The sequence below is a fragment of the Homo sapiens genome, chromosome 2, assembly GCF_000001405.40.
Source record: "Homo sapiens chromosome 2, GRCh38.p14 Primary Assembly".
Classification (NCBI taxonomy): domain Eukaryota; kingdom Metazoa; phylum Chordata; class Mammalia; order Primates; family Hominidae; genus Homo; species Homo sapiens.
The window spans coordinates 218,697,343-218,708,849 of NC_000002.12; the positions used below are offsets into that span (position 1 = coordinate 218,697,343).

The window sequence follows — 11,507 nt, forward strand, 5'->3', positions numbered from 1 at the left end:
ACTAGAGCTGCTCTAAGATGGGGAAGGGACTGAATAGGTGTAGCCCTGGGAGCTGTGGGGAAGCAGGGGTATCTGGGCGTCTTGCCTGTTCCATTGGGTCTCCATTTTTGGTGTTACCAGGCATGGCAGCCCTGCTGAGCCTGGCCATGGCCACCTTTACCCAGGAGCCCCAGTTATGCCTGAGCTGCCTGTCCCAGCATGGAAGTATCCTCATGTCCATCCTGAAGCATCTGCTTTGCCCCAGCTTCCTGAATCAACTGCGCCAGGCGTGAGTTTGAGCTAGAAGAGAGCCACAGAGTCAGCAACGGGGAGGGAGAAAGAAGAAGGCAGGAAAGAAGTTACTGACAGATTGAGCTATAAAGCAAGAAAGATGAGATCAGGTTTAGGCTGGAAACCTAAGTAGTGGCTGAGACTGTAGAAGGGGAGTTGGGCAAAGGAATTGGAGGAGGGAGGGAGGAATGATAAAGGTTAAGTGAACAAGACCAAGTCTCTTCGACATTCCTCTCCTTAGGCCTCATGGGTCTGAGTTTCTCCCTGTCGTGGTGCTCTCTGTCTGCCAGCTCCTTTGCTTCCCCTTTGCGCTGGACATGGATGCTGACCTCCTTATAGGTGTCTTGGCCGACCTCAGGGACTCAGAAGTTGCAGCCCATCTGCTGCAGGTACTTGGGCAGCTAGCATGAAGGTGGGAGAGGAAGATAGCCAACCTTGTATCCTCTAATTTACTTCCCAGCAGCTCCAGGGCTCTTCTAGGCCCCTGTAAGCATGGAACAGCTGGCTTGACTCAAAAGTTGGCGTGGAGACAGTACTCAGACCTGCGCATGTGGTGGAGGCATGTGGTGGGAGCTGGGTTGGTGCCTCCTCCTCTCCATCAGTCCATCACCTGGTTCTGTTGGTGCTCATTGGGGAGAACATCCTAGTCTAGGCACTGAAGACTCACCTCCTTGGCCAGGAATCATGTTTCTGGCAATTCTTGGCATTGCACAGTGGGTCTTTGTTCTTTTGTTGTTTCTTTTTGTTTTTTCACAGTGGGTCTTTGAAGGCAGAGACTGAGCCCTTGCAAAGTAAGGAATGATCTTGGAAAGAACCTGCTCTCTCAGGCTCCACGTTGTGTCTCATGTGGAGTGCTGTGGGGCAGGACTTCCAGCTCTCTGTGGCATTTCTCACCATAGCTTGGCTTTTCTCTCTCCCAGGTTTTGGGCTTCTTTATAGCTGCATATACTCTCTCTCTCCCTGAATCCTTTTACCTCCTGTTCTCTCAGGTCTGCTGCTACCATCTTCCGTTGATGCAAGTGGAGCTGCCCATCAGCCTTCTCACACGCCTGGCCCTCATGGATCCCACCTCTCTCAACCAGTTTGTGAACACAGTGTCTGCCTCCCCTAGAACCATCGTCTCGTTTCTCTCAGTTGCCCTCCTGAGTGACCAGCCACTGTTGACCTCCGACCTTCTCTCTCTGCTGGCCCATACTGCCAGGGTCCTGTCTCCCAGCCACTTGTCCTTTATCCAAGAGCTTCTGGCTGGCTCTGATGAATCCTATCGGCCCCTGCGCAGCCTCCTGGGCCACCCAGAGAATTCTGTGCGGGCACACACTTATAGGCTCCTGGGACACTTGCTCCAACACAGCATGGCCCTGCGTGGGGCACTGCAGAGCCAGTCTGGACTGCTCAGCCTTCTGCTGCTTGGGCTTGGAGACAAGGATCCTGTTGTGCGGTGCAGTGCCAGCTTTGCTGTGGGCAATGCAGCCTACCAGGCTGGTCCTCTGGGACCTGCCCTGGCAGCTGCAGTGCCCAGTATGACCCAGCTGCTTGGAGATCCTCAGGCTGGTATCCGGCGCAATGTTGCATCAGCTCTGGGCAACTTGGGACCTGAAGGTTTGGGAGAGGAGCTGTTACAGTGCGAAGTACCCCAGCGGCTCCTAGAAATGGCATGTGGAGACCCCCAGCCAAATGTGAAGGAGGCTGCCCTCATTGCCCTCCGGAGCCTGCAACAGGAGCCTGGCATCCATCAGGTATACCCTACAGCACTTATGAACCATGATGATCAGGGCCCCTATAGTTGACAACATTTCTCTGAGATCATCTGTAAGGAATTGGAATCGGGACATGGAGAAACTTATGCCGTGTTTCTCCCAGGGACAGTGTCTTGGAGTGAGTTTTCTAGTTACATCTCCTGCCTTGGAGGAGGGAAGGGAGCTAGAAGAGGGCTCCAATGGGCTGGGAAATGTCTGAGATCTCAAGGACCACAGTTGATCTCTTCTAGAGGCTGTGCAGGAGGGAGATGAGGGAAGACTAAGAGATGCTGAGATAGAGTAGTTTTACTCTGTGTGCCATGAAGGTGCTGACTATTTTTTTTTTAGACTTACCATGAGAAAAGCACGATGCTAAGCATTTTACCTTTATTATCTGGTTTAAACTATTATTATCCTAATTTTGCAGATGAGGAAACTGAGGCACAAATAATTTAATAACTTGTCCAAATTACAAGGACAGTATGTAGGATTGGGCTTTTGAACTCAGAAGTCTGAGTCCAGAGCCCGTACTCTTAACCACTACTTTATCCTTCCTCTTCTGCGCAACTTTCTTTTTCCTTTTTTTTTTTTCTGAGACAGAGTTTCACTCGTACTGCCCAGGCCGGAGTGCATGGCATGATCTCGGCTCACCACAACTTCTGCCTCCCGGGTTCAAGCAGTTCTCCTGCCTTAGCCTCCCGAGTAGCTGCATTATAGGCATGTGCCACCACGCCTGGCTAATTTTGTATTTTTAGTAGAGACAGGTTTCTCCATGTTGGTCAGGCTGGTCTCGAACTCCCAACCTCAGGTGATCCACCTGCCTTGGCCTCCCAGAGTGCTGGGATTATAGGCGTGAGCCACTCTTTTTTTTTTTGAGACTGAATATCACTCGTTGCCCAGGCCAGAATACAGTGGCGCAATCTCAGCTCACTGTAACCTCTGCCTCCAGGTTCAGCCAATTCTTGTGCCTCAGCCTCCTGAGTAGCCGGGACTATAGGTGCCTGTCACCATGCCCGGCTAATCTTTGTATTTTTATTATTTATTTATTTATTTATTTACTTATTTATTTTTAAGATGGAGTCTCGCTCTGTTGCCCAGGCTGGAGTACAATGGCACAATGTTGGCTCACTGCAACCTCTGCCTCCCAGGTTCAAGTGATTCTCCTGTCTCAGCCTCCCAAGTAGCTGGGATTACAGGCACACACCACCTTACCTGGCTAATTTTGCATTTTTAGTGGAGACAAGGTTTCACCATGTTGGCCAGGCTGGTCTTGAACTCCTGACCTCAAGTGATCCACCCGCCTCAGCCTCCCAAAGTGTTGGGAATACAGGTGTGAGCCACCCTGCCTGACCGCGATTTTCAGTATATAAAGAGTCCAGTAGGCCAGGCTCTGTGGCTCTTGCCTGTAATCCCAGCACTTTGGGAGACTGAGGTGGGCGGATCACTTGAGGTCAGGAGTTTGAGACCAGCCTGGCCAACATAGTGAAACCCTGTCTCTACTAAAAATACAAAAATTAGCTGGGTGTGGTGGCAGGCGCCTGTAATCCCAGCTTCTCGGGAGGCTAAGGCAAGAGAATCCCTTGAACCTGGGAGGAGGAGGTTGCAGTGAGCGGAGATCATGCCTCTGCATTCCAGCCTGGGTGACATAGCGAGACTCTGTCTCAAAAAAAAAAAAAAGCCCATTGGAAATCACAGATATCTACATATGGTAATATAAATTATGACATCTCAAAGTGGTAGCATTGGGAAGTTCATGCAGAGCAGAAATTTGAGAGGATGGTGAAGATCTTTTTTTTTTTTTTGAGACGGAGTCTCACTTTGTCGCCCCCAGGCTGGAGTGCAGTGGCGCGATCTTGGCTCACTGCAAGCTCTGCCTCCCGGGTTCACGCCATTCTGCCTCAGCCTCCCGAGTAGCTGGGACTACAGGCACCTGCCGCCACACCCAGCTAATTTTTTGTATTTTTTTTTTTTTTAGTAGAGACGGGGTTTCACCGTGATAGCCAGGATGGTCTCGATGTCCTGACCTCGTGACCCGCCCGCCTTGGCCTCCCAAAGTACGGGATTACAGGCATGAGCCACCTTGCCTGGCCGATGGTGAAGATCCTATAGGAATCTTGTGCAATCCATGGGGAAAATAATTAATGGGATTCTTGGTGGTAATGAGGTTAGAACTCACTGGTCTGCATTGAAGGCTAGGAATTAGACCTTTTGGCTTACTGTGAGTTACTGCTGCATTCATCAAGTCTTCCTGGGGACAAGTATATGTGTCCCTTAGTGCCTTGGTTTCATGGTCTATAACCAAAGAGAATGGAAGTAGACTTCTGGTCCTGATGATTCCTATCTCCAAGGTTTCTCTTCTGCCATTCAGTCTATTCCAAGTCCCCAAGAGCCCATTTCCTTTTTCTTCCTCTTCTCGAGTGGGAATTCCTGGGTAAATGAGAGTCCTCCGCACCTGCCCCAGACACCACCATTTCTGAGCCTCATGTTCTGTTCTATCATCTGTTCTCTATCCTACAGGTACTGGTGTCCCTGGGTGCCAGTGAGAAACTATCCTTGCTCTCTCTGGGGAATCAGTCACTGCCACACAGCAGTCCTAGGCCTGCCTCTGCCAAACACTGCAGGAAACTCATTCACCTCCTGAGGCCAGCCCATAGCATGTGATTCCAGATTCCTGCGGTCCAGCCTCCAACTTTGGTTGCCAGCTCTTTCTTATTCTACTACACAAGCCGCCAACTCAACTGAGAGCTAAAGAGACTAGAAAAGAGATAAGCTGCCAACTCAACTGAGAACAAGAAACTAGAAGAGATTTATATATAAAGCTTCTTCCTTCTCCCAGATGCAGGATGTTTTCAACCAGTAAATTTTATTGCTGTTGGTGCCAGAGAAGAGTCCTTTCTTCTCTACATCCAGGGGCCTTTTCTCCAATAATGTGCCTTTAACTCTAGGGACCTGCCTCACGGACCTTAGGGAAAAACCTCAACCTGAAAGATCTCTTCCTTTCTGGAGCTCCTTTAATCTTCCCAGCAGGTTTTTGCCTTAGACGTGCTGGCCCCAGGACAGTGATGAAGACAGAGCCTGTCTCAGCTCTAGGCTGTGGGGATCAATGCCATCAGTCCCTGTTATTGAGGGATTATCCCTTAGCCAACATTCCTATCTGTGGGTGGGCGTGGAGAGTGTATCTTTTTTTGGGGTGTGTGTGTATATGTGTGTGTGTATGTGTGTGTGTGTTTAATAGTTCTGTTTGTAAACTCTTTTAATAAAAGTTGTGCCTCACCATACTTGAAGCTCCCAGGACAAGGGTTGAGAGGCTCAACCCCTCTTTCAGCTTCTATGTGGTGTTGGAGGTGCTGGTATCGTGTTCACACAAGATCCTGGTCTGGCAGCTTATTTATATCATTTCTTGCCTTTACCAATTTCCCCCTTCCTAGATGAACTATATTTGGTTACCTACTTTCAAGTCAAGGCCGGTGGAGCTGAAATAGGAAAGGGTAAGATTCAACAGAGCGGTCAATTAGGTTGCTCAGACTTAGTGACTAATTTTAATATTTAGTGGAGTTCTAATGTGTAGGGACTCCAAGCTGCTGTAGAAGGATAGCTATTTTAAAGATTGTACAATTTACCAGAAAGGGCTTTTAGTCAGACCTGTTAGAATTATAATCTAACTGGAAGCATTGGAAAACCTTAACTCATTGGATGGCTTAGAACAAGCTTCCAGGGCCTTGATTTCTCCATCCATAAAATGAGGAGACTCCTTTCTGTCCTTCCTTAAATTCCAGTTGTTTTAGAAATGAAAGACAAGTAAAGTGCCCTTATTTTTATAAGAAATTTTGTTTAACCCTCATCTTCATTGTCCACAGTGTTTATACTTTAGCAAAAATAATATTTTTCTAGGGAGCACCATAATTTTCTTCTATCCAGATTATCTCAATTCAGTTCAATGTATATTTTTTGAGTCCTTTCTGTATGCCAGATACTATTCTAGGTACAGGAGATAAAACAGTGCCCATCATAGAGTTTCCATTCTGGTCGGGGAGATAGTGAAATTATTAAAAGAATAGTATGTAGGAAGGTGGTAAAAGCTATGGAGAAAAAGAAACCAGGGAAAGGAGATGAGGAGTGCTGAGTCGGATGGTCAGGGTAGGCCTCACTAGAAGGTGACACTTGAGAAAAGACTCGAAGGAGGCGAGGGAGTGAGTTGTGCACCTATTTTGGGGAAAAGCCAAGGCCCTGAGATGAAAGCATGCCTGGCATGCTTGAGGAGCTATGAGGAACCAGTATGGATTAAGTGAGTAAAGAAGGTGGAGAATAGTAGGAAATGAGACAGGAAGGTAATGGTGGGGGCCAGATATTGTAGGCTTTGTAGACCTTGGTGAAGACTTGGGCTCTTACTTTGAATGAAGGAGGCATCTATTGCAGGCTTTTGAACAGAGAATTTTATGAACTACCTTGCATCCTAAACGGATCATTCTTCATTCTGGTCTTGTGAATGGCTATGGGGAGTAGGGGAGAATGCGAAGTAGGATAAGCAGTTAGGAGGCTATTGTTATAATAATCCAGGCAAGAGACAATGGTGTCCTGGATGGCGACTGGGGTGATACCTATGGAGTGATAAAAAAGTAGTCAAATTTTGAATATATTTTGAACATGGAACAAACAGGATTTCTTGACTGATTGGAGGTGAGGGTATGACCAAAAGAAAGCAGTCAGGGATGACTCCAAGGTTTTTGGTCTGAGCAATTGGAAGAATGGAATTGTCATTCACTAAAATGGGGAAGGCTAGCAGTGGAGTGATAATGGGTGGGAATGAGTTCAATTGTGAACATCTTGTCTTTCAGTTGGAAATGTTTGAACACACACAGAGGTAGAGGATAGTTCAGTGTACTCCATCACTACTTGAGCAGCTACCATATCTATTTTGTTATTCTGGTGTTTGTTTGTTTTTGAGACAGGGTCTCGCTCTGTCACCCAGGCTGGAGGGCAGTGGCATGATCATGGCTCACTGTAGCCTCGACCTCTCAGGCTCAAGGAATCCTCCCACCTCAGCCTCCCGAGTAGCTCGGACTACAGGCGCCCGACTCATTTTTGTATTTTTTATAGAGATGGGGTCTCACTGTGTTGCCCAGGCTGGTTTGGAACTCCTGGGATGAAGTGATACTCCCAAAATGCTGGGGTTACAGGTGTGAGCCACTGCCCCAGCCTTACTCAGGTTATTTTAAAACAAATCCTGGCTGGCAGTGTTATCCATACATACTTAGGTATACGTCTGCGGCAGATCAGGACTTTTGTATTTCACTTTTATCAAAACCACAGTATAGTACTGTACTTGACAAAAATTAACAATTGCTTAATATTAAATATCTCAGCTGACCTTAGTATTTCTTGGCCTGTAGTTAGTTTGTTCAAATACAGATCTAGATGAAGTCTACTTACTGCATTTGGTTGACTTGCTTGTAAGATTCTTAATATCAGGGTAGAATGAATGAAATTTTTAATTTTTTTTTAGAAGTTGCTGAGATCTGAAAAAAATATTTTATTTATTTATATATTTATTTATTTTTGAGACAGAGTCTTGCTCTGTTGCCCAGGCTGGAGTGCAGTGGCATGATCTTGGCTCACTACAACCTCCACTTCCCAGGTTCAAGCGATTCTCCTGTCTCAGCCTCCCGAATAGCTGGGATTACAGGCACACACCACCATGCCCAGTTAGGTTTTTTGTATTTTTAGTAGAGATGGGGTTTCACCATGTTGGCCAGGCTGGTCTCAAACTCCTGACCTCAGGTGATCCACCCGCCTCGGCCTCCCAAAGTGCTGGGATTACAGGCATGAGCCACCGCGCCCGGCCAAGATTCTTAATATAAAACAGTTCCCTCTACTTTTGGGAGGTACAATTTCATTGAATAAACCAGATCATTTGAGCAGTAGGCTTCTTCACATTAGATTTGGCTGATTATGTATTGGGATGTCATTTATTCCATTACAGTATTCTTCCTATTTCCTTTAAATTGTTCATTGGCTCTGGATAGATGAAGATGTTAGAAACACTTTTCTTCTTGTAAATTCTGTTGCTCAAATCTCCTGTACCCAGGCAGTCAGTCAGCCATGCTCTTGACTTCACTAAGACCTGTCTAGGCAAATACAGTATTTTAAAATCTAGATTGTTTTCCTAAAAGATAAACTAAGGGGAGTTACCTTGTGTAAGAATTATTTATTTTTTCAAATAATAAACTAAATACTAGCTTGAAATATCATTCTTATCTGGTACATAAACAATTTGCTAAAAAGAAATTAAACTGCCTGTAATCCCACAGGAAGAATACTGTAATGGAATAAATGACATCCCGGCCACTTTGGGAGGCCGAGGCGGGTGGATCACAAGGTCAAGAGATCGAGACCATCCTGACCAACATGGTGAAACCCCGTCTCTACTAAAAATACAGAAATTAGCTGGGCGTGGTAGCACAAGCCTGTAGTCCCAGCTACTCAGGAGGCTGAGGCAGGAGAATCCCTTGAACCCAGGAGGTGGAGGTTGCAGTGAGCCAAGATTACGCCACTGAACTCCAGCCTGGTGACAGAGCAAGACTCCGTCTCAAAAAAAAAAAAAAAAAAAAGCAATTAAACTTATACCTAAACTTTTTAGACTATCTAGCACATAAAGCAATAGTTGATCATTTTATGCGGAAACAAGAAAACACATCCATGTCCTTGAAAGCATTCAATCTGAAGGATTAGAAATACCGTATCAACAATTTTACTTCTAGCAATTATTGCACAAGGGACTGACAGAGTACTAAGAGAATTTGGAGTGAATGTTTTGTGTAGTGCCTGGAATCCAGAGAATGTTTGGAAGGTTTGAGGATTTGTGCCTGTGTTTGATTTTGTATGTATAAACAGGTATGTGTTTTAACTTTTTTGGTGGTAATGGGGAACTAAAAAGTTTTCAACCATATAAAAGTAGAGAGAATGGCATAATAAACCCCCAGACCCTGATCCTACAGATTCAGCTGTCATCAGCATTTTGCCCTACTATCATCAATATTTTGGCTTTACGTACCGTATTCCTTTTAAAAATTTATCAGCTGGGTGTGATGGCTCATGCCTGTAATCCCAGCACTTTGGGAAGCCGAGGCGGGCAGATCACTTGAGGTCAGGAGTTTGAGAGCAGCCTGGCCAACATGGCGAAATTCCATCTCTACCAGAAATACAAAAATTAGCCAGGCATTGTAGTGCACGCTTGTAATCCCAACTACTCGGGAGGCTGAGACGTGAGAATTGCTTGAACCTGGGAGGTGGAGGTTGCAGTGAGCCCAGATCGTGCCACTGCCCTCCAGCCTGGACCACAGAGCAAGACTATCTTAAAAAAAAAAAAAAAAGACTGGGCATGGTGGCTCACGCCTGTAATTCCAGCACTTTGGAAGGCTGAAGCAGGTAGATCACCTGAGGTTGAAAGTTGGAGAGCAGCCTGGCCAACATGGCGAAACCCTGTCTCTACTAAAAATACAAAAATTAGCCAGGCATGGTGATGCATGCCTGTAATCCCAGCTACTTGGGAGGCTGAGACACAAGAATCGCTTGAACTCAAGAGGCAGAGGCTGCAGTGAGCCAAGATCATGCCGCTGCACACCAGCCTGGGCAACAGAGTGAGACCCTGTCTCAAAAAAAAAAAAAGTTTAACAGGAGAAAAACCACATTTAATTTTGTACATACACATAAGTGTCCTACAAAATATGAGACTCAAAGAAGGGTCAGATGTTCTAGGCTTATATAGCATCCTGAGCTACAGAAAGGCATAGGAACTTGGGACTTCTGGGAGGTGGTGGAGACTCAAGTTATGGGATGGTGAGGGGAGGAATTCTATGGTTAATGAAAGTGGTCTTGTTCTGTAGGAAATAAAATGATCTCACAGTAGCCCTCAGGAGAATAGGTGATTGGGCACAGCGTCAACCTCCAGTTTCCTCTCCTGTGATCTGAGTTTATTTTTCCCTGTTGATAATATTCTCAGGGAAAGGATTCATACCAGTTGAGTTCCTTTTGGAGGAACTCAGACAAACCCCCCGACTGCATCTGCTATTGTGCCCTTTGTCCAAAGTAATCAACATACCAAAGTGTCATGTTTTGGGGTGGCATTTCCTAAACTCCCTCAACCAGATAAGGTAATATTTACAAGTTCCTGGAATGAGGACACAGATACATCTTTTGAATGGGTGGCCACCATTCAGCTCCCTACAATAAGAGAATAAACAGTGGTTTCTTAATATTGTCTATGCTGCTTTTTTTTTTTTTTTTTTTTTTTTTTGTAGAGAGGGGGTTGCCAGGGTGGAGCACAGTGGTGCAGTATTAGCTCACTGCAGCCTCAAACTCCTGGGCTCAAGCAGTCCTCCCACCTCAGCCTCTCGAATAGCTGGGAGTACAGACTTGAGCCATTGGGCCTAGCACATCAGCTATGTTCTTAGTATTCCCAATCCTTATTCAGATTTTTCCATAGTCTTGACAACAAAGAATCTCGGGCTCATAAATTTGAAAAGGAGAGCTTTACTTCTTATAAAGGGTTGCAGCCTGCAAGGTGGCCATTCTGACAGGCTGGGAAGTGTAGTTTCTGGCAGAAGCTGAAAGCAAGTACTTTGAGGGAGGGATAAAGGGAACAGGAATTTACACAGAGTGGGGTGGCTAAATACACATATTTAATAAGCTATAGGAGGAGTCATGATAATGAAAGAAACAAGTGCATGCACAATTGAGCTTCATGCCTCTTCATGGGTTGCATATGCAAAAAACGGCTGCATTCGCATGATCCTAGGGTGGAGTTTTCAGCCCTCTGATGTCAAAAGGTAAAGCGCAGGAAATGAAAACCCTCATTGTGCATCCTCTCCAAAACCCATCTGGAGATGATGGTCAGTTTTAGGAAGAGATGCATAGTGAAACTGATGAACTGTCATTTTGAAACTGCGAAGTCAGTCTGGGCAACATAGCAAGACCTTGTCTCTACAAAAAATTTAGAAATTAGCCAGGTGTGGTGGTTTGTGCCTGTGGTCTCAGCTACTTGGGAGGCTCAAGTGGAGGACTGCTTCAGCCCAGGAGTTTGAGGCTGCAGTGAGCTGTGTTCATGCCACTGCACTCCAGCCTATGTGACATAGTGAGATCCCTTCTCAAAAAAAAAAAAAAAAAAAAAGAAAAGAAAAGAAAAGGAAAGTGCAAAGAGTAGGGAGTCTGGTTCTGGCCTCTAAAACCAATGAAGGATTAATCATCCCTTTCTTGATTTCTAGAGCTGGTTTCTGCTTACTCCTTAGGAAAGAATTCTGTTTAAAGGTTAATAAGGAAGGGGCATATTGAGGTGTGTTGGACTTCCCATCTCATCATAGCCAGGAATTCAGTTTTTTTTTTCTTTCTTTTTTTTTTTTTTCAAAGAGTCTTGCTTTGTTGCCCAGGCTGGAGTGCAGTGGTGCGATCTTGGCTCACTGCAAGCTCTGCCTCCCGGGTTCACGCCATTCTCCTGCCTCAGCCTCC

The 11,507-nt window shown here is 45.8% G+C and overlaps 1 protein-coding gene across 5 annotated transcripts in view, besides 2 other annotated features; it reads left to right on the forward strand.

Moving 5' to 3' along the window:
* Positions 1 to 5,375, forward strand: part of STK36 (serine/threonine kinase 36) — a 30,632-nt gene extending 25,257 nt beyond the window's left edge. For 3 of the 5 annotated variants that reach the window (XM_011510959.3, NM_001369423.1, XM_047443931.1), the window contains exons 24-27: positions 121 to 268; positions 512 to 659; positions 1,260 to 2,006; positions 4,524 to 5,375. In XM_011510959.3, coding sequence (XP_011509261.1) covers positions 121 to 268; positions 512 to 659; positions 1,260 to 2,006; positions 4,524 to 4,667 — 1,187 coding nt within the window. In that variant the 3' untranslated portion in view covers positions 4,668 to 5,375. The remainder of the gene's footprint in view (positions 1 to 120; positions 269 to 511; positions 660 to 1,259; positions 2,007 to 4,523) is intronic. The other 2 variants (NM_015690.5, NM_001243313.2) reach the window with 1 other exon arrangement.
* Positions 1,704 to 2,204: an enhancer, noted in NCBI's record as "H3K4me1 hESC enhancer chr2:219563769-219564269 (GRCh37/hg19 assembly coordinates)". NCBI's record gives its function as "activates a minimal SCP1, AML or CMV promoter by ChIP-STARR-seq in naive H9 embryonic stem cells {active_cell/tissue: H9 hESC(naive)}" and the evidence as "EXISTENCE:reporter gene assay evidence [ECO:0000049][PMID:30033119]".
* Positions 11,020 to 11,069: an enhancer, noted in NCBI's record as "active region_17129". NCBI's record gives its function as "activates an Ori minimal core promoter by ATAC-STARR-seq in GM12878 lymphoblastoid cells {active_cell/tissue: GM12878}" and the evidence as "EXISTENCE:reporter gene assay evidence [ECO:0000049][PMID:35858748]".